At 40.5% G+C, this 27,174-nt stretch overlaps 2 protein-coding genes and 1 pseudogene across 12 annotated transcripts in view, besides 6 other annotated features; 2 read left to right on the top strand and 1 right to left on the bottom strand.

Moving 5' to 3' along the window:
• Positions 1 to 6,132, top strand: part of PPP2R2A (protein phosphatase 2 regulatory subunit Balpha) — an 81,173-nt gene extending 75,041 nt beyond the window's left edge. For all 9 annotated transcript variants that reach the window (NM_002717.4, XM_005273559.2, NM_001177591.2 and 6 more), the window contains one exon: positions 3,586 to 6,132. In NM_002717.4, coding sequence (NP_002708.1) covers positions 3,586 to 3,865 — 280 coding nt within the window. In that variant the 3' untranslated portion in view covers positions 3,866 to 6,132. The remainder of the gene's footprint in view (positions 1 to 3,585) is intronic.
• Positions 6,133 to 12,710: 6,578 nt separating this feature from the next.
• SDAD1P1 (SDA1 domain containing 1 pseudogene 1) lies at positions 12,711 to 16,405 on the bottom strand (annotated as a pseudogene). Its single transcript, NR_144550.1, has 2 exons — positions 15,840 to 16,405; positions 12,711 to 15,318 (listed from the first exon to the last, which is right to left on the bottom strand). The product of NR_144550.1 is annotated as an SDA1 domain containing 1 pseudogene 1 (transcript).
• Positions 14,983 to 16,182: an enhancer, noted in NCBI's record as "BRD4-independent group 4 enhancer chr8:26239047-26240246 (GRCh37/hg19 assembly coordinates)". NCBI's record gives its function as "activates an origin of replication core promoter dependent on BRD2, P300/CBP, MED14 and CDK7 cofactors, and independent of BRD4, by STARR-seq in HCT116 cells {active_cell/tissue: HCT116}" and the evidence as "EXISTENCE:reporter gene assay evidence [ECO:0000049][PMID:35650434]".
• Positions 16,156 to 16,455: an enhancer, noted in NCBI's record as "active region_27126". NCBI's record gives its function as "activates an Ori minimal core promoter by ATAC-STARR-seq in GM12878 lymphoblastoid cells {active_cell/tissue: GM12878}" and the evidence as "EXISTENCE:reporter gene assay evidence [ECO:0000049][PMID:35858748]".
• Positions 16,506 to 27,174, top strand: part of BNIP3L (BCL2 interacting protein 3 like) — a 30,074-nt gene continuing 19,405 nt past the window's right edge. Inside the window, exons 1-2 of one of the 2 annotated variants that reach the window (NM_004331.3) lie at positions 16,506 to 16,682; positions 24,695 to 24,878. In NM_004331.3, coding sequence (NP_004322.1) covers positions 16,583 to 16,682; positions 24,695 to 24,878 — 284 coding nt within the window. In that variant the 5' untranslated portion in view covers positions 16,506 to 16,582. Of the gene's footprint in view, positions 16,683 to 23,864; positions 23,970 to 24,694; positions 24,879 to 27,174 lie in introns of those variants that run through there. The other variant, NM_001330491.2, reaches the window with a different exon arrangement.
• Positions 16,666 to 17,255: a silencer, noted in NCBI's record as "silent region_19039". NCBI's record gives its function as "represses an Ori minimal core promoter by ATAC-STARR-seq in GM12878 lymphoblastoid cells {active_cell/tissue: GM12878}" and the evidence as "EXISTENCE:reporter gene assay evidence [ECO:0000049][PMID:35858748]".
• Positions 19,005 to 19,299: a silencer, noted in NCBI's record as "tiled region #12075; K562 Repressive DNase matched - State 5:Enh". NCBI's record gives its function as "represses a minimal TATA promoter and a strong SV40 promoter by Sharpr-MPRA in K562 cells {active_cell/tissue: K562}" and the evidence as "EXISTENCE:reporter gene assay evidence [ECO:0000049][PMID:27701403]".
• Positions 24,611 to 24,755: an enhancer, noted in NCBI's record as "145 bp enhancer 260 fragment used in the MPRA reporter construct; PK_construct_4143". NCBI's record gives its function as "activates an SV40 promoter by MPRA in K562 cells {active_cell/tissue: K562}" and the evidence as "EXISTENCE:reporter gene assay evidence [ECO:0000049][PMID:23512712]".
• Positions 24,674 to 24,691: a transcriptional cis regulatory region, noted in NCBI's record as "GATA motif; enhancer activity is reduced when this motif is scrambled". NCBI's record gives its function as "necessary for full MPRA enhancer 260 activity {active_cell/tissue: K562}" and the evidence as "EXISTENCE:site-directed mutagenesis evidence [ECO:0005528][PMID:23512712]".

Here is a 27,174-nt window from a genome sequence, read left to right on the forward strand (position 1 = left end):
AAAATTAAAGCATTGTATTTCACTAGTAAATATAAAAGTACACAAATTCTAGGTAATCTAAATTATTTAAATGTCTAGAATTTTTTTTCTTTTATGAACCAGATCACATTTCTGACATGCTAACCATTAAAACGGTGAAGCTTCAGCTTGGTTGTTATTCTTCCATTAAACTGTTGCAGAAACATTCAGGCGGCAGATAACTCATTTGGATTGTTAGAAACACCAGGTTTTCCAGATGCTACATTAACACCTCATAGAAGTGGTCTTTCATATGTATGTTATGTATGATGTTAACCATAATATATATGGTTAAAATTTTAGTAGTAGTTATCCTTTGCTTTTTATAATTTCCAGTTTTGCCGTAGTGTAATTCCTTTTTCGTATTCATTTTTAGTAAAATGTTACCCATTATTTAAAGATAAAATAAGTCTTACTTTGAGTCTTTTAGTTGTCTATTTGCCACTATGTTCCAGTAGAACAGAAAGTAGTAAAACATAATTTTGGAATTAAACTGACATTTAAAGTAATCAGAGATACTTCAACAACAGTTTTATCACAGAGCTTAATATGATTCCGATTTCATGGTGTTGTGTGTTACAGAGGATAATAGAACTTATAGAATGTTTTCTTTCATCTGGCTTTTAAAATTATCTGATTTTTGACATAAGGACTAGTAAACCTAGAGTTCTGTTAATAGCAAACATTGCCTTTGAGTGCTACTACTAAACCTGAGGCATCAAGAAGAAAGAAGGAAAGGGAAGAAGAAAAAAAAGATTAACAAATTTGAAGAGTAAAGAGATACTGAAATAAGGTGTGGCGCACAGCTACAACCAGTTTTTCATTGTATTTAAGCAGATAATTAGCAGTTTTATGTTCTATTATCAGAAAAAAACGATTTGTTTTCCTTAATATTAAAAATTTTTTTTTAACTATTTCAAACTTAGAGAAAATTTGTTAGAATAACACAAAGAACTCTTGGCTGGCCTTGACCCAGGTTCCCCTGTCGCTGTTTGCTGTATCACGTGTTCTATTCTCTGTTTATTTATAGCTATATTTGTCCACATAGGTACGTGCGCATGTGCTCACATGCAACTTGTGTGCCACATGGGAATTTATTCCATTTACGCCAGATGTGATGCCCATAACCCTAAATTCTTGAATGAGTATTTCCTGACAAAAACACTTTCCAACATAGTGACAGTGCAGCATCCAAAGCAACATTCACAGCGATGCAGTACTGCCATCTAATCCGGAGACCCACTGAAACTGACCAGTTACTGTAACTATGTCCTTTATGGCACAGAACAAAGTCAGTCTGGTTCAGTATCCAGCATTTAGTTGTCATCTCTTGTTAGTCTCCTTTATTCTGAAACAGTTCCTCAGTCTCTCCTTGTCTTTCATGACCTTGGCATTTTGAAGAACACAGGCCAGTTATTTTATAGAATGTTTCCTCATGATTAGATTCAGGCTATACATTTTTGGCAGGAATACCACAGAAATGCTGGCCTAATGATACCTTTTTAAAGTTTCAAGTAGCCACAGCCTAGGTGTCCTAATACATTAAAACCACGCAAACTCAGATGATATGGGGATGTCAATCTAAATTACACAAGCCATTTTTAAAGAAATACAGTTTTGTCATCTTCAGGGGCACGCATTACCTTGAGTTTGATTAAAGTTGTTGCCAAGTGTCCTTTGGGAATTGACATTACTAAATAGATAATAATTTGTACTCAGTAGGTGACCTTTGTATGTAAGTATTACTTTGAACAATTCCCCAGTATCCTGTAATCCTTATTTACAATAATAATTTGAACCATTGGTAAGCAGCGGTAGCAGACCCTTTCCAAATTAAGAGCTTCAAACTTACGAAGTTTTGTTTGTGAGGATACTTAATAAATGTCGAGCAGTAATGGGTGGCAAATAGAACTGACAAGGAAGTGTCTTGGGCAGTTTAAAAATTTTGCCACCCCTTTAAACTGATACTTTTATAAATATTTGCTTAAAATGTTCTAAGTGGTAAAAGTAAAATGATGTTCTGTTAAGAAAATATTACAGCCTGGGCAACATAGCAAGACCCTGTCTCTACAAAATATTTAAAAATTATCTGGACATGGCAGCATATGCCTGTAGTCACAGCTACTCAGGAGACTGAAGTGCAAGGACTGCTTGAACCCAGGAGGTTGAGGTTGTGGTTGCAGTGAGCTGTGATTGTGCCACCACATTTCAACCCGGGTGACAGAGTGAAACCCTGTCTTGAAAAATACATATATATAGGCCGGGCACGGTGGCTCACGCCTGTAATCCCAGCACTTTGGGAGGCCAAGGCCGGCGGATCATGAGGTCAGGAGATTGAGACCATCCTGGCTAACGTGGTGAAACCCTGTCTCTACTGAAAATACAAAAAAAACTAGCCGGGCGTGGTGGCGGACGCCTGTAGTCCCAGCTACTCAGGAGGCTGAGGCAGAAGAATGGCATGAACCCAGGAGGCAGAGCTTGCAGTGAGCCGAGATCGCACCACTGCACTCCAGCCTGGGCAACAGAGCGAGACTCCGTCTCAAAAAAAAAAAAATTATACACACACACACACACACATTATGTACCACTTAATATTCTCAGGAGCAGATTATAACATAAGCATTTATTAAATGTGATTATCTGAACCAGACAATACCCTGAGAAGATTATTTATTTATGAGACAGAGTCTCACTCTGTCACCCAGGCTGGAGTGCAGTGGCACAATCTTGGCTCAGTGCAACCTCCGCCTCCCGGGTTCAAGGGATTCTCCTGCCTCAGCCTCCTGAGTAGCTGGGACTACAGGCACGTGCCACTACACCCAGCTAATTTTTTTTTTTTTCCGAGACGGAGTCTTGCTCAGTTGCCCAGGCTGGAGTGCAGTGGCACGACCTTGGCTCACTGCAAGCTCCACCTCCCGGGTTCACACCATTCTCCTGCCTCAGCCTCCCGAGTAGTTGGGACTACGGGTGCCTGCCACCACGCCAGGCTAATTTTTTTTGTATTTTTAGTAGAGACCGGGTTTCACCATGTTAGCCAGAATGGTCTCGATCTCCTGACGTCGTGATCTGCCCACCTTGGCCTCCCAAAGTGCTGGGATTACAGGCGTGAGCCACTGCGCCCGGCCCAAAAAATGTAAATCATAAGATAAAGCATTGGTTTCTTGTGAACAGCTACAGCTACTTCATGCGGGGTTCTTTTGTTTTAGAACCTGTGAGTTCCACAGATAGTTGCTCCTTTGAGAAGCTGGCTGGCCTGGTTGATCACATAGCCTGTAGTTGCAAAAATACTTAACAACGATAATTCTGCACTCCTAAGAAGTTTTACTTGAGGATGCTGTCAACTTTGCTGATAGTTTTGGTAGCCATAAAAAGAATAAGCAGAAAACCCAGTTAATTAGTACCGTATTTCTGGTTTATTCTAGTGATTGAGTTGATGTCAACAGCCCCTGTCCCTTAGTTTAAATCTGCTTTTGAAGTAGCTTCCTATGGTTTAATTGCCGAATCATTTTACTTGAAAACAATTTCTTGTTCTGCTTGTTTGACTGAGTGTACTGTCTATTTTCACAGTGTTGTCATGACTGGATCTTACAATAATTTCTTCAGAATGTTTGACAGAAACACAAAGCGAGACATAACCCTAGAAGCATCGCGGGAAAACAATAAGCCTCGCACAGTTCTGAAGCCTCGCAAAGTCTGTGCAAGTGGCAAGCGAAAGAAAGATGAAATAAGTGTTGACAGCCTAGACTTCAATAAGAAAATCCTTCACACAGCCTGGCACCCCAAGGAAAATATCATTGCCGTAGCTACTACAAACAATCTGTATATATTTCAAGACAAAGTGAATTAGGGTTGGCATTCCTAGCAGAAGAACCCACTTCCTGCTTAGTTGAGATAGTTGAATCTAGCATTCGTTCCTATAAAAGAGAGAGGTCCATTGTGGCGCCCCTTTCCAGTGTTTGACAGTGTGCCATTCGACAACACATTGTTATAGCTACATGGAGAAAGCTCTGTGGATTCATCACTGTGGTGTTCTCCATGTCTGCTAGCCATTTAGGTAAGGGTAGGGCACTTTTAATTTAAATGACTTCTTGCACCATCTTGCCTAATGGACTAGATTGGACTGTATCAACATTGATTTACTCCACTTTTTATGCCTTCCATTGTGATGACGTCAAACACAGTGAAAGCCTTCAGTCATGCTATGGGATTTAATTGTGTATCCTCATTACTGTATCATTTGTGGGGTACACCCCTTCCCCCTTTTTTTAAATTAAATACAGCTCATTCTTACTGTGGCTTGTAGCATTCCTCCTCTTCTGGCCTCCTGGACTGCTCCCCTTCATCTCTTACCCTTGCCCCCTCCACCCGGTCTTGGTGGTGGTATATTAAAAAAAGAAAGAATGAAAGCACACAAAATGAGTCAGTTTGGGGTCAGTGGTATAAAGGGGGTATATGTTGCAAACAAATGTTTTAGTAACAGTTGGCTGTAATCACTCCTCGCCGTGTCTGGCACTGAAAATAAGGAAAAAAAACCTACTACTGAATAAAAGTGACAAAGAATGGAGAATCTGGTTTTCTTTTTCTTTTTAACCTACCTCTTGTAGCCAATATTTTGTGTCATACCTTTGGGCACAGTGAAACAAAATGGGTTTTCATTGTTTATTGGTATTTTTGTTAATTATTTTTAACAAGTGTTCTTTTACATGCAGGAGGAGAGGTATTGGTTCTCTATGAACATATTTTGAATATAGGTTTTATTAAGGATTTCACAATCTATAAATGCTACTAGTTTTTTTTTTTTTTTTTACCATCATGAGGGTATTGGATACATTGTGTCTCTATTTAACTCATTATGTGTTAATGAAATTGTTGTAAATGGGAACCAAATTTGTAGAACTTAATTTCTACTTTTTAGAGTGCTTAATTTCATTTTTGCCTTACTAAATAGTCAAAGACTTATAAAACATTTTTAACAAGTTAGAACTTTTTTGTTATTCAGTCATATAAAATAGCAGAAAACTAACATCAAGTGACACTGCACTAAATACTTTTTTTGTATTTTACTGCTATCAAATCAGAATGAAATATACTTTACCATAGATATTTTTCTTCTATTTTTGGTTTTCCAAAGCTATATGAAAGACAAATTTTTAAAGGTACAGCGTTCAAAAAGTGCTTAATGAACTCCAACAGCTGCCTCAAATAAAAATCTGTATATGAATACATTTTCCCTAAGCGGTGATACATTATCCAAAGATGAAGAGTGCTCCTATTTTTAATAGGTAGAATGTACCTTTGTCAGTCTTGCAGAAACTTTAATGGAGAAGAAATGGACTTTATTTTTGAAAGGTGAAATGAACAGGCATTTATATTATTAGAGAATGGTAGTCTTATTTTGGTGGAACATAATGTAACAACCTTGAATTTCAGAGGACTCTGAGTGCTTCTATGTCCACTACCTATTGTTCTATTCTTCAATAATGAAAAAGAATTCAACGAGCCGACCGTGATTCCCTCTACTACAAATATTATGTCTTGTAAGTTAGCATTTTTAGCACACAGGAGAAATTTTATGTAATAAAATTACTGTATCTTTTGGATTTAACAAATTTGTATTTGAAACACATTCTATGTCTGATAATTCTTAATGGCACTTTTACTAATTTATTTGGGGATCTTGGGTACATTCTTAATTTGTGTTTATTCTTCACGCTTGACTTGCAAGTGGGATATTCCCCTGCCACAAGTGTCAAACAGTGATATTCTTCCTGTGTTGTGACTGGACAGTTTTCCAGATCTTTTTTGGGAGATTTTCCTACAGCTTGGTTGTATGTCTTGAGATAACACCACCAAACAGCTCTCAGAAATTCTTTTTTGATTGATCAGTAGCTATGATGATTCTCCTCCATGACACTAAGGATTAGTTTATATATTTAAGAGAAATAATTGCTAAAATTAAAATGCCTCTATCAAGGAATGCTATTATAAATTATTGTTAACATTCTCAAGTATTAATTTTTTAATTTCATTGGTGTAGCAAACTCTAAGCCCAGCCACTCATTTTACATGGCCATGGTTAATCTTTTTATTAATAAAAATTATACTTAGAATAAACTTAGTCTTGTCAAGTTGCTTGTATTTCCTATTCTCTTGCCACTAATATACATGCACATACTCCATCACTTAACCTTTTAGAAGAGATTGTGGGTAGGAAAAGGACTTTCATTCTATTAACCTCTTTTGATCTTTACTTAGTGGCTGGGCAATAAGAATTGTTTTATAAACCTGTCTAAATACATGTTTATGTAACCATTAACTGCTGGATGGTAAGCTTCTGTGCAGCCCTCCGTCTCTTGGGATTAAAAAAAATGCATCCAGTCGGGCGCGGTGGCTCACTCTTGTAATCCCAACACTTTGGGAGGCCGAGGTGGGTGAATCACCTGAGGTCAGGAGTTCGAGACCAGCCTGGCCAACATGGTGAAACGCCGTCTCTACTAAAAATACAAAAATCAGCCAGGTGTGGTGGCACGTGTCTAATCGCAGCTATTCCAAAAGATGAGGCAGGAGAATTGGCTTGAATCCGGGAGGCAGAGGTTGCAGTGAGCCGAGATCGCGCCACTGCACTCCAGCCTGGGTGACAGAGCGAGACGCCGACTCAAACAAAAATGCGTCCATGCACTCTTTTCCTTTCAAAATGAAGAGAATTTTTTAAACCTTAAATGTGAGTTATTCTGGTTAGGGATACTTCTACGGAAAGCTAGAGATAGGAAAGCAGGTTCTTTCAGTGTGTGACTTTTGAGTAAGGTGTTAATTAGGAAATTGTGCACATGTGAAAGCTATGCAGTACTGATAAAGAATTTTTAGTGATATTTAAACCCTTCTAAGGGAATATTGTTTGAGCATCTTTACCACACATAAATTCAAATGTAGATAGTATTGTGCCCTTCCAGAAAAACAAAACCAATCCCCCCCAAAAGATGGAAAAGATAGGCATATGCTGGGTAGTCAAGAATCAAGTCAGTTTACTTGTGTATTTGAGAGCACCTGTACTTTAGTATCTTACTTATCTATCTGTTCAGATGGTGATAGTTTAAGCTCTGCGTGTATGTCTTACTGTGGTTAAAAAGGGAGTTTTATGCACCTCCTCTTCCCCCTCAAAAAGCCTTGAAAAATGACCCTGCTTCATTTTGTAATTATGCATGAAGTCAAAACATTACAACTCTTTTAGTATTAATCAAATGCTTAGCGATTCTACAGAGTCTTGAGGTGTTCTCAGATGCCAAATATATTTTGTAACTGAGTTTGCCTCAACATTTTATTCCGTAGTGGTGTCAGACTGGAACCTCTTACCTCTGTATTAGAATGAAGAAACACCCACTTTACAGGCTTAACGTTAATAAGTCTCTTGCTAGCTCAGTGTATCAAAGAGAAGGCACTACAGAGCTTAGTTTCCTCTAAAAGGAATTTGGCAAACTGGTATAAGGGGAAAAACTAATATTTGTGTTTTTTCACATGTTCTACTCATGCTCCTTTGTAATCTGAATAGCAACAAGTTCTTCGAGGACTTTCCCGCTAGAGGGCAATGGTGGGGAGCGGTGGCTCATGCCTGTAATCCCAGCACTTTGGGAGGCTGAGGTGGGAGGATCACTTGAGATCAGCCTGGGCAACAAACCAAGATCCCATCTCTACAAATAAAAGATGTATTTTAAGAAATATATTTTAGGAAACCACTAGGGGGCGATCGTTAAGTTTTGAACAGCAATGATGGGGTATTTTTGAGAAAGTATAAACGGGAGTCTTTATGTACTGGAAGAGCTTCATTATTAAAGTCAGGGACCAAATACAGGATATTGTGTACCCAAAACCACTGTTCCCTATGACCCTTGAGTAAATATTTGAGAACCCACTGATGGAGGGGAACACAAAAGCCAACTGTGATGTCATTACTTATATTGTACTACAATCAAGTCATGCAATATAAGTACAACAAAGTAGTACAATTACTCAACAAAATACTTGCAAAATACAAAACTTTAGCTGGGTTTACCCAAATGCCAACTGTGATGTCATTACTTACATTGTACTACTTTATTGTACTTACACTGTATGACTTCATTGTAGTACAATATAAGTAATGACATCACAGTTGGCATTTGTGTACATCCAGCTAAGTTCTGTATTTTGCAAGTATTTTGTTGAGTAGTTTGCATTGATGTTCATGAAGGATATTGATCTACAATTTTTTTATATTTTAATGTCACTGTCTAGTGTAATGCTGATCTCATAAAATGAATTTTCCTCTCCTGTATTATTGAAGAATATGGACAAAATTGGTACAATTTCTTCCTTCAGTGTTTGGTAGAATTCACTAGTGACAAATTATTAAATACCATTCTATCAAAGGTCACATCACTGAGTCACTGTAAGGAGAACAACATTTGTCTCTTTTCAGAATTGAAATGTATTTCTGCTCTATTCACCAAATCGCCCAGCCGAGTTAACAGAATGAAGCATCATAATTTGAGTTTGTCAAACACCATTTTGCTCTCTTACAGTATCTTTGAAAATGTTAATTTGTTAGCCCAAATCTATATCAAACTTTTGTTGCCCAACACTTAACTTACCAATGCCTAAAAAGATTCACTGATCAGGTAATGTAGTTGTTAAGTAACACAGAGCAAAGTGGTTAGGACGTGCTGGACTGCCACACTAGGAATCCTGTGAGTTTAAGAAAATATAATAATGATAATTGCTTTTTGAGACACAGTCTCGCTCTGTCACCCAGGCTGTAATGCAGTGGCCTGATCATGGCTCACTGCAGCCTCAACCTCTTGGGCCCACTCCTCTCATCTCAGCCTCCCAAGTAGCTGGGACTACAGGCACCTGCTACCATGCCCAGCTAACTTTTTAAAAGTTTTTGTAGAGATGTTGCCCAAGCTAAGCTTCAATTCCTGGGCTCAAGTGATCCTCCCGCGTCCACCTCCCAAAATGTTGGGATTAGAGGCATGAGCCACCACTGTGCCTAGCCTAGAAAATAGAAACTTCTCCCTCCTCCTCTCCCCTTCTTCCCTCTTCTCATCCTTACTTCTTTCTGTCCACTGGCAGCCAAGTCCTGACCTATTTGCAGACAAGTTTATTTGGTCATTGGATGACAATGCCTCTAACAGTCACTCCTGAACTACACTTTCTAACTCCCCTTCCTTCTGTAAGCATTTGAGTTTGTACCTTCTCTTTTGCTTTAAGATTACAACCAAACCAGGCAAAATACTTGTAATTGGATATGGTATTATGGAATCAATGCTCAAAAATTAATTAATAGTAAAACATCTTGCAGAGCACAGCATCGTTTCTGTTTTTCTTTTTTCTTTTTATTTATTTACTTTATTTTTGAGACAGTCTTACTCCATCACCCAGACTGGAGGGCAGTAGGGCAGTGGTGCAATCACAGTTCACTGCTACCTTAAACCCCAAGCTCAGGTGATCCTCCCACCTCAGCCTCCCAGGTAGCTGGGACTACAGATGTGCACCACCACACCCTTTTGTATTTTTCGTAGAGATGGGGTTTCACCATGTTGCCCAGGCTGGTCTCGAACGCCACTGCACTCCAGCCTGGGCGACAGAACGAGACTCTGTCTCTAAATAAATAAAGTAATTGGTAGGGCAAGTATATTACCTTATTTCTTATGAAAATTAATCATCTTAATAAATCAGGTAATAGTATTTGTATCCAGTAGCTATTGCCACAATCAAGTAATAGAAGTACAACTATAGCTAAAATGAGAAAAGTAAATATTAAGTGGGGATATCAGCTGGGCGTGGTGGCTCATGTCTGTAAGCCCAACACTAGGGGAGGCCAAGGTAGGTGGATCACGTGAGGTCAGGAGTTAAGACCAGCCTGGCCAACATGGTGAGACCCCATCTTTATTACTAAAAATACAAAAAAGCTGGGCATGGTGGTACATACCTGTAATCCCAGCTACTCAGGAGGCTGAGGCACAAGAATCGCTTGAACCCAGGAGGTGGAGGTTGCAGTGAGCTGGGATCCTGCCACTGAACTCCAGCCTGCGTGACAGAGTGAGAACCTATCCAAAAAAAAAAAAAAAGGATATGATCAACTAAAAAATGGGTAGTAGAGATAAAGGTGGAAGAAGAGGAATTATACTAATTTCATTACTGTTCCTTGCTGGACATTAAAAGAAACTAAGGAAAAGAAGGATTAGGAGGATTATATAAATATATAGTTATAAAGGTAACTAACTGAACAAAAATTAAAATTTCATCAGGCTAATACAACTAAGCAACAATAATAATAGTAAAAACCCAAACCATGATCTTAATATTGAGGTTGAACTGAAGACAAAATTATGACCACTTTATAGTGACAAACAGGGATAGTTATGAATATCTGTGCATCAACTATAAGGAATGAAGATACAAGAAGAAAGAAACAGGAGTAGGAGATATTAATTTACCTCTTGAAATCCATGACATGTAAAGGGGGGAAATAATCAACTATATGAAAACTTAAATGACATTAAGGTGGTTCCAACAGATACATCAAACCTGATTTTGTGAACACAAACTACATCTTCTTTTCAAATACGGAATAGTCCCCAAAAGGCATCATAAGTTAGGCCCCAGAGAACACCTAAAAAAAAAAAAAAAAAATCCCACACTAGAAATGATACAAAAACCAAATCTGACCAGGGAAAAATTCTTAAATACCCAAATTAATAAAGAATGAAATAAGTATCAAATATATAAGAAGCTAGGAAAGCATGAGGGTGACTGCCAATGAGTACAGGCAGTCATTGGTTGGGGGGGGGGGTGTGTGACAAAAGCGTTCCAAAGTGACTGTGATGGTTACGTAACTCTGAATATATAAAAAACATTGAATTGAACTTTAAGTGGATGAACTGTATAGTATGTGAATTATATTTCAATGGGGCTGTTAAAAAACAAGAATTAGGAGGCTAGGCGCAGTGGCTCACGCCTGTAATCCCAGCACTTTGGGAGGCCAAGGCGGGTGGATCACGAGGTCAGGAGTCTGAGACCAGCCTGGGCAACATGGTGAAACCCCATCTCTACTAAAAAAATAGAAAAAAATAGCTGGGCGTGGTGGCGGGCGCCTGTAATCCCAGCTACTCAGGAGGCTGAGGCAGAAGAATCACTTGAATCCAGGAGGCAGAGGTTGCAATGAGCCGAGATTGTGCCACTGCACTCCAGCCTGGGCAACAAAGCTAGACTTTGTCTCAAAAAAAAAAAAAAAAAAAAAAAAACAAGAATTAGGAATAATACAATTAGGAAGCAGGAATTCAATTCAAGAGCCAATAAAATAAATGATTAGGTAATATAATCCAGAAAAAAACAGAGGACAAACAACATAAAATAAGAAATAAAAGTAACATCCTATAGAAACAGAGATGACCTTCCTAAAAGCATCAGGCCCCAATGTTTCCATAGGGAATTATAACATCTCCTTAAAGAAAGTAATTTCAATGTCATCTATGTAAGACCAGAGAAAAGGAAACTTTCTAATTATTTTCAATAAAATGAGTATAGTAAGCTGGGCAAAGTGGCTCATGCCTGTAATCCCAGCAGTTTGGGAGGCTGAAGCAGGGGGATCCCATAAGACCAGGAGTTCAGGACTTGCCTGAGCAACACAGGAAAACTCTGTCTCTACAAAAAACACAAAAAAATAGCTGGACATGATTGCAGGCACCTGTAGTTCCACCTACTGGGAAAGCTGAGGTGGGATGATCACTTGAGCCCGGGAGGCTGAGGCTGCAGTGAGCTGTGATTGTACCACTGCACTCCAGCCTGGGTGATAGCATGAGACCTTGTCTCAAAAAAATAAAAATAAAATAGCACATGATTAATAAAAAACTTTTTTTTGAAAGTTTAAAACCTTTTGAAAGGAGCACCTAAAAGGAAAATAGAACAAAGTGGGATCTCGTAGTCCTGACTGGGAAAACAATTCTATAAATATGTCAATAATCCCCTCAATTTCTTTTTTATCATTTGGCATTAGAAACCTTTTATTGAGACAAACGGTGGGCTGAAAATAATACAGGGTGAAGGAAGGTTGAGGAAACCAGTATGAAGGCATCTCAAATGATGAACTAAATACATTCCAAAGGTACTATTTACACTTAAGGCAATTTTAAAAGTGAGGTCTTAACCAAAAAGCCTTTACATGGCATTAAAAAAAAAAAGCGGGGGTCATTTAAATCTTTTGGATTGACTAAAAGAGCTAAATTATGTACCCAAAATCTGTACAGCAGGGGCCTGTTTTCAGCAGGTAAGCCTATTATATGCAAGAAAGAACCTCTTACTCTTGTTACAATTGTCCTGTTTTGCTTTGTTTTACAGGAATATATAACCCCCATCCCCACAGAGTTAGTCCATAAGGCCTCAGTGTCTGCATAGAAATGTGGACCTACCTCTACTAGAGAACTATTTACACTGCACTGTAAATACACGTCTGTGTCCACCCCCACAACTAAGCTGTCAATGCCTTGAGTGAAGGGGTAGTTACAACTCAGTCATTTTGTATCTACAGTGACAATTAATAGGCACTCAATACTTTTTTTTGCATGAATGATAAATGATATTACACTACCACCACTATTTACATTAACATTTCCCATCATTAGCTGTCCCCAAAATAAAAACACCAAATTGCTGCCACATTTTCAGCAGTTTTCATAATATAGTGCTTCTGGACTTTTTAATGTAAACAAACATGCTTGATTTACCAATTTTCAGAGTAATGACACAAACTTAGCATTCTTCTTGGAATGGAAAACTTTCTGGGAAGTTACTTCATTCTTTTTCTCTTTTCAAAAGGCATCTCGCAGCGCCAACTGTTTTTCTCAGAAGGAACGCTTATTTTCTGACCAGACATTCTGGCTATACCACATCATCATAAAGTTCTTCTGTTTTTTCTTCTCTTTACTTTTTGAACTGGAAAATGGATTCACTTTGGTTTTCTTCCTCACAAATTCTTTTCGGTCTGTCTTTCCAGCCATTGCAGTTGCTAGTCTTGTCTCTTTGTCAGATTTTGGCTTTTTATGAAGGCGTTCAATGTCCGGAAGAGAAAGTAATTCACCCCTCGGCTCTTCATCACTGTCGATTTCAATATATTTCCTCTTCTGGGATTTCCCGGGGACAGCGTCAAGTTCTTTTCTCATTTGCGCCATGCGGATTTTCTGGAAGTCTTCCTAACTTAAAACTCGACTGGTGCTGACGGCTGCAGTTTTGGCTTTCTGCTCCTCCATGGGCATGGTGTTCAGCTTCTTGGAAATTTCTTGCTGTTCTTCATTGGAAGAGTGTTGCACATCAACCCATTCGCCATCGGCATCCTCCTCCTCACTGAGACTGGTACTTTCCCATCCATCTTCATCATTTTCAGCACTCTCCTCTTTCTCAACTTCCAGAACTTCTGCTCCTGGAATGTAACCTTTAGCATCTAATTCTCCATATTCTTGTACTCTTGCTTCTATGGAGGCTTCTGTAGGCTTACCCCAGAATTTCTTCTGCAGCATCTGAGGATTCAGTGTTCGGAAGAGCCGAATCAAAGTTCTAGCAGACATCATTACATTATTATCCTTGTGTGTTTTATACTGAGCCAGGTCTTGGAGAAGCTTTTCAGTCATGGCCAGAGGACACTGAGCTGTTGTCTCTTTTACAGCATTGATTCCTATTGTCATGGCTTCTCCAGAGTTCTTGTCGTTAACAAAATTGTTGGCCACAGTCATAAGCAATGATTGAATAATCGCTGGGTGTACTAGGTGATGAGATGCTTGTGCAGCAAACAGAAGGTTCTTTGTTACTTCTCTTTGGTGGGGCTGCAGAAACCTTCGCAAAAAGTGATAGAAATTGAAGAGGAAGAGCTTATGAATTCCCACCAATCTGAGATGAGGTTCATGAGCATCATCTTCACTTCCAACCTCTCCTTACAGCACTCAAGCTGCTTTAGTAGTTTTTCTGCAAAATCTTGGGGATCATGAATCAAGTGAACGGCTAAAAAGTTAAACACCTCTGGTTTTTTCTTCTTCTTTTGTTTCTTGAGCACTTTCATTGCCTTTTCCAACTTTTTCTTGTTTTGGGAACTTTGTTCCCTGTAGCATACTGTGCTAGCAGGTCTCTTGCTGTTGGTCCGTCATCCTCAGATTCGGAGTCACTGGCCTGTTTTTCATCTTCATCTTTTCCAAGAAAGAATGTCAAAGCAGCAACTAATATCTTGGTGACCTAAGAGAAACATGCAGTTGTGATAACATTGACAGTTTTGGTATCATTCCAGATGTTCCTTCTGTAGAGTTCAATCATAACATCTAAAGACATCTTGGCTGCAGTTGCATTGCTATCTCTCAACATGGTATACATGAAATTTTACAATACTACATCCACTTTATTCTTGTGTTTTGCATTTATATTCTTGATATCAGTCACGATATATGTGTATGAAGTCTTTTGCAGAAGCTTATCATGGCAACAGAGAAGTTCAAAGAAGAGTTCTAGCAGGCTTGATGGATTGATGAGATTCTTATTTCTCAGCAAGATCAAAGCTTTGCAAAATGTCATTCGAAGATCTGGATCCAATACAGTATGATTACAGGACAGAAGATCTTTCACCACTTGAGGAAAATTACTTAGATACCCTGGGTAGCAGTAACTAATCTATAACAAAGCAAAGGCTCTTCTGAAGTTTCTCTCTTTCTCTCCTATTATTCAGATGCACATATTTAGGACGTTCTGTGCCATAAACACCACCAGCTCTGCTAGTTCTTTACCGGGTTTATATGGTTGCAATTTGAAAATCTCCACATTGGATGTGTAGTGATTATACTGCTGTAGAAACTCCTAGATGGAGGGTGGTGGGTCTCGCTTCATCAGATTCTGTAACTGCAGTCAGGTTGCTGGGCAGCTTGTTGTTGTTTCTGCTGGACATTCTGGCTGAAGACTGGCTTCGCGGCGAGCAGTTTTAATAAAACTCAGATGGCCAGCAGCCGCCAATCCCTACCAGCTGCGGCTTGAACTCCTGCTTCCGGGTATGACCGGAAACAGCACTCAATCTATTAATAGAGTTCATTTCTGACCAAAATCTTAAAAGAATTTGCAAAGGGATTTGACAAATCAATCCTTAAAAAAAACCTTTTAGCATGGACTTTTTCAAATATATTAAAAAATTAGAGGAATACTTTAATGTATTACATAGCTTCAATAATTACCAACACAAGGTCAATCTTGGACAAGTCCATTTTTAAGTTCATCTGAAGAGTAACTAGCCATTAACATCTGAAAAAGACAAAGGAAGAGAAACTTTAATAGTTATCTAACAGAGGTATTGCAGATAGCCCTGAAACAGACTCACATTTTTGTGGTCATTCAGAGAGTGACAAAGGTGCAATTTCAAATCAGTGTAGAAAGGATGGCTTAAAATTAATATTATTAGGTCAATGGGCTACAAAATTGGGAAGAATTGAAGTTAAATAATTTACAGCATATGGAAAATAAATTTCAGATGGATTAGAGCTCTAAATGTAAAGTTAAGCCTATAAGAAAATTAGAAAAAGTTATAAGGGAATTATAGATTAGTAATCTTGGTGTGACTGTCTCCCCAAGCCATGTAAGAATGATAAATCTGATTACATGAAAACCTTAAGCTTCTACAGAGTGAAAAAAACAAATTAAAAGACAAGTTAGAGACTGCGAGAAACATATGTCACTCATAAATCAGACCAAGGAGACTGGACGAAGACATGGAGATGTGAAGTAGGAGGTGTGCTCAGGAACATAGTTTAATGTCATCCACGTACAGGATAAACGGCTTCCCACGTCATGTCCCAGAAATCGATTAGTCGATGGGATTTGGGTGAGTACTTTCTTCTCTCTGTTTTCCTGAATTTTTCTTTTTTCTTTCTTCCCCTTTCTTCTTTCTCTTTTTTTCAGAATGATGGTGTGTTTGTAATCGACATTTTAAAAATTCTGTAACAATTAAATTTGGGGGCGGCCTTCCCTTGTTTCCCGTATGGAGTGTTGATGTTTCAGCAGCTTTATTTGGAGTTTACACGTGGAGGCACCTGGGTTTGGGGATTCCTTTGTGTCCCCAAGACACCTATTGCAGAAGTGAGTCCTAAGAGGTAGAAAACAGATGCGTGCGCAGGGCTGGGTGAAGCACTGTGGAGCCTGTGTGAGAGGAGGCACGGGCGCGAACACAGGAGCGCACTTCCTCATTCCGTTTCTCCTCATCCTCTCTCCCACTGCCACTGGCATCACTCATCCCATCCGGTCATCCCAAGTCACACGCAAGAGTTCGTTCCCGGCGCGCGCGTCAGCCTGACTCGAGCGTCTCCACGTCCGGGGCCCGCAGGGGAGCGCCCCTGCCCCGTCCGGTCGCTTGTTGTGTTGTCATCACGTGGCCTGGGCGGGCCCTGACGTCAGGGGCAGGGGAGGGACGGCGCAGGCGCAGAAAAGGGGGCGGCGGACTCGGCTTGTTGTGTTGCTGCCTGAGTGCCGGAGACGGTCCTGCTGCTGCCGCAGTCCTGCCAGCTGTCCGACAATGTCGTCCCACCTAGTCGAGCCGCCGCCGCCCCTGCACAACAACAACAACAACTGCGAGGAAAATGAGCAGTCTCTGCCCCCGCCGGCCGGCCTCAACAGTGAGTGCGGGGCCGAGGCTCTGTGAAGGGGATGGGGGAGGAGGAGCAGCCCCGGCCGCCGCCACCGGCGCGGCGCGGGAGGCGGGAGGAGAAGGCAGCTCATTGGCTCAGGCATGGGATGTCCAGGTGACTGACAGCTCCCGTCCCCTGTCAAGAGGAGGGGCGCCTGCCTTGCTCCGGGCCTCTCTGTTGCCTCCTGGGGTCTTGGGCCCGGGGCCGTTTGGGCTCGCGGTCCGGGAGCGGCGCGGGTAGCGCGGATCCCCCTGGTGCGGGGGGTGGTCCCCAGCAGCGGAGCCGGGCGGGGCGGGGCGGGGGCGGGCCTGGGGGGCGGGGAGGCCGGGTGGGCGGAGCGGGCCGCGGAGGGGACGTGGGCCGGGATGGGGACGTGCGGCGGGGACGCCGGGGGATGGACGCGCGGGAGCGGGGCGGGGCGGGCGGCTGCCGCGGGACGTGTCGGGGATCAGGTGTGCGGGGCTCGCGGGCGGGCAGCGTCTGGCGGGCGCGGGAGCCCCCCAGCGAGCATTCCTTTGTTGCCACACGTTTGTCAGGAAAATTCATTTGCTCGTCTAGGGTTGGCTTCAGTCACGTGTGGGGTGAGAGGCTGTGCCTTGCTTCTCCTTTTTCCTTTTTTATTTTTTTATTAGATTTCTCGAAGTTGCCCAAGTGATTTTTTTTTTTTTAAAGCGATGGGTTGTGCGCCCAGTAAAGCTGAGAGCAGCCTCCTGAACCACCCAAGATTGCACACGTCAGGGAGTCTGGGGCCATGCATTTAAAGAAACGGAATTAAAAACGCACTCGGGCAGTTGAAAGTTAACGGACGAGGCTGATAGACAACCCAGGCCAGGGTCTTTTCATAACATTCCGCTGCCCAGACATCTTGTCCTCAGATTGTTCCTAGTCGTGAGAACCGGGAGCCTTCTTGGAAGGGTTCTTGCCTAACCTTTCTTTAATTCAACTCTTGGGAAAGAGGTAATGGGAGCAGTGAGCATATGGCCAGATGAAGTCTTTTCAAAACCACTTGGATGCTTAAAGGTCATGCAGTATCTTTCGTAAGAGGGAGGTGCTTCCAGTGTGGCCTGAAGATTATTTTAGGGAAGAGAGTTTCAGCCCTCACCAGGTAGCGATGGAGTTTGGAGATTTTAAGATGGATGCTGCTGCTCCAGGTTTTGATGGGTTAATTCCCAAAACCTTTAAGTGTCATATATTCCAGAATGTAAGATGGTTATATTATTTCCCACAGTAAATTAGGATGAATGTATGAGTCTTTAAACGTTACTTGTATCACATATTCCTATGCAATTTTAAGTTATTTGCCCATGTTTAGCATACTGTCTTAGATTTTAGAATGGGAAGAAACTTCAGAGCTAGCTAACTGCCTCCTGTTGTTTGCCTGTAGAGAAACAGGTCTAGAGTAAATGGCCTTGTCCAAGTTCACAACCGGCTGGGAGCAAAGCAGAGGTTCTCATGTTCAGCCTGTCTACTGCTCTTTTGAGGACATTTTTTTTTTTTTTTTTTTTTTTTTGAGGTAGAGTCTCGCTCTGTCTACAACCTCCGCCTCCCAGGTTCAAGCGATTCTTCTGCCTCAGCCTCCCGAGTAGCTGGGACTACAGGTGCCTGCCACCCGCCCAGCTAATTTTTGTATTTTTAGTAGAGACGAAGTTTCGCCATGTAGCTGGGATTACAGGCGCCCGACACCAAGCTAGGCTAATTTTTGTATTTTCAGTAGAGAGGGGGTTGTTGGTCTCTCACCATGTTGGCCAGGCTGGTCTCAAACTCCTGACCTCACGTCATCCGCCCGCCTGGGCCTCCCAAAGTGCTGGGATTACAGGCTTGAGCCATCGCACCGGCTTCTTTTCAGTGGTGCAGAACCTCCTGCTGGTGTGTGTGTCTTATTTTGTCAGTGTGTTATTCTACCTAATTGACAAAGGTGGCCAACCTTTCTGTTTCTTTTTAGTATTGTTTCTTAATTGTACAGTTTTCTTATGAGTGAAGATACTTGGTAGGTGTACGTGATTTCACTGAAAGCAAAGGGATTTTCATCTTCCTTTGACCCTTTAACAACAACAACAAAAAGGGCTGAGCCAGGCAGGGCACGATGGCTCACACCTGTCATCCTAGCACTTTGGGAGGCCAAAGCGAGTGGATCACTTGAGGTCAGGAGTTCGAGACCAGCCTGGCCAACATGGTGAGAGAACAACCCCCTCTCTACTGAAAATACAAAAATTAGCCTGGCTTGGTGTTGGGCGCCTGTAATCCCAGCTATTCAGGCGGCTGAGGCAGGAGAATCGCTTGAATCCGGGAGGCAGAGGTTGCAGTGAGCCGAGATCACGCCACTGCACTCCAGCCTGGGTGACAGAGCAAGACTCTGTCTCAAAAAAAAAAAGGGGCGAGGGCGGGGGCTGAGCCATATGTCATTGTTTATCTTGGTGTCTGACAGACCTATGAGGAGTTTGATGTCTTTGGCCAGTCGGTTCCTGCTTGGCTGACATCAGCTCTTACAGAGGTGGAAGTACACTCAGCCTGCATGGGACATCAAAATGTTGCTTTGGGACATCTGCTAGATAGAAAGTATTTTGTGTGGGATAGGGTGAGCTTTCTGAAAAGCTTTTAGATATTGCCATATTTAATTACTCCCTTCTTGCCTCTCACTCTGTTCGTTTTTTTAGCTCATTACACAACACTGTACTGAACAAAACAAGAAGCCTCATTGAATTCCTTGAAGTGATTTTTGGGCAATGGGCAAAACAACTTATTCAGGCATCTAGTACTATCCAAATTGCTGATAAGTCGAAGGACTTTGTTGGGTAAAGTTGCACAACTGAAAAACAGGAGAAGAAATGTACAGATTATCTTGCGTTTGGGATTTTATCTTTGGTTCAGGGGTCAAAGCAGGGTTTCAATAGCAAATTACTGAAGTATTTGAATAGTGAAGTATTTTTGTGATTTTTTTTTAACTTTACCGCTGTGGAGAGACTGTTCACTTTCATTAAAAATTACAGGGCAAATACCCAAACTCCTTCCAAGTCAAAAGGATGTTGTCCAGTTTGTTTTATTGTTAAGAAAACTATCAACTTCCTTAAGAATGTTTGAATAAGATTCAATAGGGCCGAATAAGGAAAATCAAAGTAGTAGTGTAAATCGTAGTATAATTCTTGTTGTTGAGAAGTATAGCCTTTTTTTTCTTTTCAAATTTTCTTGTTCTTTTTTGTTTTTTGTTTTGTTGAGACAGGGTCTTGCTTTGTCACCCAAACTGGAGTGCAGTGGTACAGTCATAGCTCATGGCAGCTTAGACCTCCTGGGCTCAAGTGATCCTCCTGCCTCAGCCTCCCAAGTAGCTAGGACTGCAGGTGTGCACCCCCACATCCAGCTAATTATTTTATTTCTTGTAGAGTTCGAGTTTCACTTTGTCACCCAGGCTGGTCACCGGCTAACTTATTTTTTGTAGAGATGGAGTTTTGCTTTGTTGCCCAAGCTGGTCACAAACTCTTTTTTTTAAATAGAAACATCTTCAAGCACAATGTCCTTGCTTTCTTGTTATGAAGAGTGCTCTTAAGGCCTTCATGGATTGTCACTGCCTCATAATAATGTTTTGAATACCTACGTAACTTGTATGTAAATACATACTGCTGCAAAAAGACCAACTTTTCAAAAATTTATTTATTTATTTTTTTATTTAAGAAGAATGCCAGTAACTCTTGTTGGCCTGGTCTGGATTTCAGCATCAGGTTGGCCTGGTCTGGATTCCTTTCAATAATGAATGAAAAGCTTTGAGGAAAGAATGTAAATATAATGAAATTTCAAAAGAGTTACATGTGGGCCTTGAAAAGTTAGGGGGAAAGATGAGGAGAAATACTCTTCATTCTCTCCTCCCCTTGTCCCAAAGCTCCTCTCTTCTTCTTCTTGCAAGAGGATTGAACTAGTGATTATAAAACTGTAAAGATTATACAACATACGGCAATGAGTATAATCACAATTATTGGACCACCCTTCACAGTCTATTATGTTAGAGAACGGAGAAGCATTCACAGAAGTTTCTCTGAATCTCTTAGTCATTCCCAAAAACCCAAACCAGAAAATATCTCATGTCATTGTATGTTATGTACAAATTGGCATAAGGAACAGCTCTTAGTTTGTAAAGTCTTTTAGATAATGGAGAAAGCTTCCAGCTTTTAGTTTTCAAGCTTGATCATTAGGAGGAGAATTCACTCTGTGGTTGTTTTCTACTTTGTGTTGCTTGGACAGCACAAACCTCTTATCTAGCCTTGTTTCCTTTCCAAGTAAAAAGGGACTTTGTGAGGATTGGTAGAGTTAGAACACTAAGAAATTCTGAGGCTGTAAATCAGGAACAAATCGGGTGATGGGAAACAGACGTGTTGTTCATCTATTGAGGAAGACACATTTGCTTTTTTATGTGTTACTCAAAAGATTAATATGTAGCCTCTTAATGCCTGTGTACATAACTTTCTCTGTACCACTATGTATTTCCATAGATGATATTTTTGAAAGAGAATTACCCTTAATTAATTAAAGGAAATCTACACTTTTAAGGCTGTTAATACCTATTGTCAAATTATTCTCCAGAATGTTCACTGAAGCCCTAATTGTAATAACAAAGTATTAGAAACAACCATCTCAGTAGTAGTTAACCATTGCCATTTAGATAATGGTTAAAGTATGGTATATCTTTATAAAAGATGAGATGCAATGCAGTTGTTCAAAAGAATGAATGTCAGTATATATTGATAGGGAAGACATCTGAAAAACGACTTACAGAATATGTCAGTATGTGTGTATGGTACAGTTCCATTTCTTTATAAAAACAAAAGCAAAAACAGACCTATATTTCATTGACAAAAACTCTGCAAGTCTCCATGTGAAACTGTCAAAAGTGGCTCCTTTGGGAGTAGGAACGGGAGGTTGGGAGAGATGTTAATTTTTAATTTTATGTACTGATGTTTACGTTTTCTAGGAACACATTTTTCCAGTAAGGAATGGTTTTTCTATGATATAGAATATAATTGTAGTAGCTAAAACTTTCTTAGGGACCTTTCTTATTGTTCTGCGTGCTATATTCATTTAATCCTCCTAACAAAGTCTTCGAGGTAGATACAGTTATTATCTCTATTTTATAGATGAGAAAACTGAGGCACAAAGAGGTTAAGTACCCTGTGCGAGGGTAACAGCTATAACTGAGAGTGGGAGCCTGGCTTCAGTCTCAGCCCCTGACCACACTATACCAGTGTATCCCAAGTACAAATTGTCCGCCTTAAGTAGAAATGCTTTCAGTTATGATTCAGGGTGTGGAGGCCACAGCAGAGATCACTTTTACTAAGCTTTTCTAGGTATGTCTCTTTCAGGTTCCAAAAGTATATATTGGATTATGATTGCTTATGTGTTTTTAATGAAGAAAATAGGATCCAGACATTGATTTGAAAGTCCTTCAAAAAAGTAAAAACCAGGTTGGGAGCAGTGGCTCATACCTGTAAGCCCAGCACTTTGGGAGGCTGAGGTGGGAGGATTGCTGAAGCCCAGGAGTTTGAGACCAACCTGGGCAATGTAGGGAGACCCTGTCTCTACTAAATAAATAAATAAATAAATAAATAAATAAATAAGTCGGGCATGGTGGCATGTGCCCTGTAGTCCCAGCTTCTTGGGAGGCTGAGGTGGGAGGATTGCTTGGGCCCAGGAATCAAGGCCGCAGTGAGCTGTGATTGTGCCACTGTACTACAGCCTGGGTGACAATGCAAGACTGTCTCAAAAGAAAAACAAAAGTAAGGACCAGAAAACCTGATATTGTTTGTTACACCCTTTTTTCTCTTCGATTGCCTACTTCAAGTGAATATTAATTGTATTTTAGGGAAGACTGACTTCCACAGAGACCTATCTGGAACTCCTGGTTCCTTACCTCTGCTTCTGTCAGAGCAGCTCTGGGTTTTGGTTTGTTACTATTGTACACATTAGGCTTCTATACAAGAAGAACTGGTCCCATTGGTTTAAAAATAAGTTTGAAAATCCTAGAAACAGTGAGAGTCAGAAAAAAAAACTGTTTTTATATACATATTCTCTCCCCCACCCCCTTTCTCTCCAGTTGAAATATGTTGCAGAGCTCTAAATTTAGGGATGCTTTTGGCGTATTTCTTATACACTCCAGAGGCACTCGAGATAAATTATCTTCAATGTTAGATCTCTCTTAGCTTTGCTAGTTGTATTTGTTAATCCATTTTGAGTTCTCTAGCCTGTGTCCATTTTATGTGTGTATAGAATGAGGCCATGGAGATGTTGTACAACTGTGTCGTTTGGCAGCAGAGTCCTAAGGAATTGGTGGTGACTATGGGATGGTGGTAGCCACTGGGGCTGCCTCAAATGGAAAGGAAAGGGTTCTAAGTATTTATAAAAGAAAATTCTAGTGTATAACTGAGCATCTTCTATTTACCAGCACTTGATACTACTAAATCGTCACAGCACCCCGGTGTTATTATTATCTCTGTTTACAAATGAGGAAGCTGAAGCTCAGGTCACACAGGTAGACAGGAAGTGATGGGGTCAGATTCCCAGCTAGGTCTGCCTTGGAGCTTTCCTTCTTGTGAGGGTGATGTTCAGTTCACTCTGGAACTGGTGTAGCCATCGCCACATTTAGAGTGCATTTTAGAGTTTGAGCCAGTTTTGATGATTTTACTTCAACTTACTGATGGAACTCCTTGTTCATCCCTGGAACTCTCTAACACTTCTGCTGGGAGTTTAGAGGGATGGCCACACCAAGCTGCTTGGGTACATTTTCTAAAACAAAATTTATTGTAAGAAATGGAAATTATGAACAAAATATACCACTATCTCTTTTTGCTGTGAAGTTAAGTTTATTGGCTACTGTTAACAATTTATTTACTTACTTACTTACTATTCTTTTGTAGAGACAGGGTCTTGCCATGTTCCCCAGGCTGGTGTCAAACTCCTGGATTCAAGCAATCCTGGTGCCTCAGCCTCCCAAAGTGCTGGGATTACATGTGTGAGCCACTGTACCTGGCCTCAACTCTTGTTAAAATTAAAGCACCTTAATACGTTTAGCAAACTCATCAGACCAATAAATATTTTCAAGATGTATGCAGAATTACCAGTGGCACATCCCCTTTTTCTGTGGCTCCACCCCTTCAACTTTTTGTCCAAGAAAACTTTTCGTGTTTGCCTGTAGCTGATGTGCAGTTGTTTCTGCTCCCAAATCAACAGGGTTTAATGAAAACCCTAGAAAGTAGAAACCCGTGGGAGAGAAAAGAAAAAAGACAAGTTCACAAGGTATGTTTAGTGTATAAAAAAGGAGAAGGACTAGAAAGCCTGAGATACAAAGGAAATGAAGAAACTAATCAGTGAGATAGAGATAAAGCTTTTTTCTGAATTTTTAGCATTATTACCTGATTTAGTTAACCAGCTGCATTAATTTTATGCTCCTGATTTGTGCACAAATTGAAATTTTTGCTATTGGATTTAGGTTCCCTCTCTAGGAGTTTCTCAGTTGTTTGCACTAAGTAGGATATAGTTGCTAACTTACTTAGATGACCTTTTATGAAATTTGTAGGTGATATATTTATTTCATTTCTGGAGCAGATACAGCTGAGCAGCTTAGGTAGACTATGAAGAAAGTGTGTGTGTATATATACACCAACTAAAATGTTAAAGGTAAATAGCCTAAAAGTAGCAATTTTTTTTTGAAAAGCAACCTGAGTTTTCAGTAGAGTGTTATTATAAACCAAGCTTTACCCAGAGAGAAATTGACTGAAAAACACGTTTTCTGAGATGTTTTAGAGTTTGAGCTGTTTCTCAGTTGATGGCATGAGCTATTTCAGGAACAGAACTATATAGATCTTTAGACTTTTATTACTTCTTATTTATTTTCTTCAGAATACTTTTACATTTGGTTTGAGGAGAGTCAGAATTCTTATCTGGATTCACCATGTTCACATCTGTGTGCACATGACAGATTTCAGTTCTGCTGTGGTTAACTTATCTGACTTGTCCAACAGGTTCCTGGGTGGAGCTACCCATGAACAGCAGCAATGGCAATGATAATGGCAATGGGAAAAATGGGGGGCTGGAACACGTACCATCCTCATCCTCCATCCACAATGGAGACATGGAGAAGATTCTTTTGGATGCACAACATGAATCAGGACAGAGTAGTTCCAGAGGCAGTTCTCACTGTGACAGGTAAGTGAGACCCATGTTTTGGTGGAATTCAGGAAACAGGTGGGTTACAGGGCTCATTCACTCTAGGAAAAATCTGTTTGCTTAAATCTTCACTTAGCAAAATATGCCTCCTGATATATTGTAGTATAATATATATTGCACAGATATATATTGTGTTTATATGAGACAGCTAATTGACAGGTGCTTCAGTGCCCACTGTTTTTCCCCAGATTGTCATTTTTCTTACCCAGATTATATTGTTTCTAGCAGTTTATCAGTTTAAAATTCAGTGGCATAAATGCTAATTTATAGAATTAATCTGACTTTCCCCCATTTTCCTTTGTGTCCCTGTGTTACAGATCACAGACTGTTCTTGAATTAGTTACCTCTGTATATATGTGTCTTCCCTTCTAGATGTTGACGTTGCAAAGGGCAGGGGCCATGTTTAATTTTTATTACCTTCACAGTAATGGTGCTGGCACGTAGTAGACACTCAGTAAATGTTTGATTCATAGGAACTGCAGGTTGCTTCACGTTATAGCAATATTTGCACAGTTGGAAGCACCAACCAAGGTCTGTAAAGATAGTTTTGAAGTCTCCTCTGCTTTCTCAGGGGATGTTTTGTTTCAGACCTCATTTTTCTATATTTGAGCTGAAGAAACTAATTACATGGATTAAGGACTGCTTATGGTGAAAGAGTAAGAATACAACGAGATATGTGTGTGGAATGAAACCAGGTCATTATTTTTTAGTATAAACTTTTCTGTTTTTTTTTTTTTTTTTCAGAAGGGCTAGATATTAAATGACATTTAAGAAATTCTTGTTTCAGTGACAGCTACACTGTTAGCATTATGGGGCACTGGATGACCTTCTGGGTGGTTGTTAACTGATGTTAACCATTTAGAAAATGCAAATGCACGGGAAGCAGATTAAGGAAATGTAAACAGTGACTATTTTTAGGAATGCAGTATGGATATGTTTCTTCTTAACATTTTTGTATTTTGTAAAAATTGTGTATATTGCACATATTATTACTTATCAGAAGAAGTGAAAAAAAGGAGAAATGAGTTAAATCATGTCCAACTTCCTGAGTGGCTTATGATCCACTAATGTTGCCAAGGCAGCGGGGGACTGGTTTGTTGGCTCTGTGGCACACTGTGCACCCCCGCCACCCCCGTGTCATCCCTGACTTGTCCCTGTGCTTCTTAGAGCCTGGGATGGCTCTTGTCATAAGCGGAACCAGAGCAGATGGCTCTCTTCTGAACAGCTTGCCCTTGATTCCAGTAGCTACAGCATTAGTCTGTCTTTCCGAATGAAGATTTATATTTATATTATGGAACTTGCTGATGGGTTTCTCAAGTTTTCTGCTTGTTATGGCCTGTCAACAAGGCTTTCACTCTGCGTTCAGGTGTGTGGGCCTTGATCATTGATACCATGGTGTCCATGAGCCTGTTGTTCACATGGTGCTGTCAATGAGCAGAGAACAGTCACCTGCTTACCTGTCTGTTCATCTTACTTCATTTATGGTGCAGTTTTACGTGTGACTGAATATGCCTTCACCCTCCTATGATCATGTTTAAGTTTAGGTTGCCATGAGGAGGCATGGCAAATGCTTTTGAACACTTTCGTACCCCTCATCTTATGTCTCTCCAGGCCCTAGATTAGTGGTCATCTTTCAGAGAATGGCTAGAACTCGAGTCTTCTGGGATAGCCTACTAACACGCTTTACCATTGAGGAGTGTCTTCAAAACTCACATCATCTGAATTGCCATGCGTCTCTATATGTGAAAAGTAATTGGAAAGTGTTTCTTGTAGGGGGAAATGTTTTAGGGTTGTTGGGTATCAGTCCTAGAGCTGATTTATGTATATTTTCAACTTAAAAATTATTCCATAGAAATATTTGTGTTGCCGCAGGGGTTGTTAGCTGGGAACCCCAGTGTGTTCTGCTTTGCCTTTCACCCTGTCACAGGGGTTTTCACCTTGACGGCACACTAGATTCACCCAGAAGCTTTTAAAAATGGCAGCACATGGACTGCATCTCAAGAACTTCTCATTTTGGTTGACAGGGGCAGGGTAGAGACGTCACAATATTTTAAAAGCTCCCCAGCCGATTCTAATATGTGCCATGGGTGAAGCTCTAATGCATTCCAAATTGTTAGGAGGAGTAAACAGTTTAGAGAAGAGGTTGGTACCAGTGTGAAGAAGCATATAGAAGCAGAGCAATGCTTCCATAGGATTCTTGACTTTGTCACCCTGACTGCCTTGACCTGGTCACGGCTATGTAAGGCTGACCCTTAACTTGATGTGTAGCTGTGAA

Source organism: Homo sapiens, chromosome 8, assembly GCF_000001405.40.
Source record: "Homo sapiens chromosome 8, GRCh38.p14 Primary Assembly".
Taxonomy (NCBI): Eukaryota; Metazoa; Chordata; class Mammalia; order Primates; family Hominidae; genus Homo; species Homo sapiens.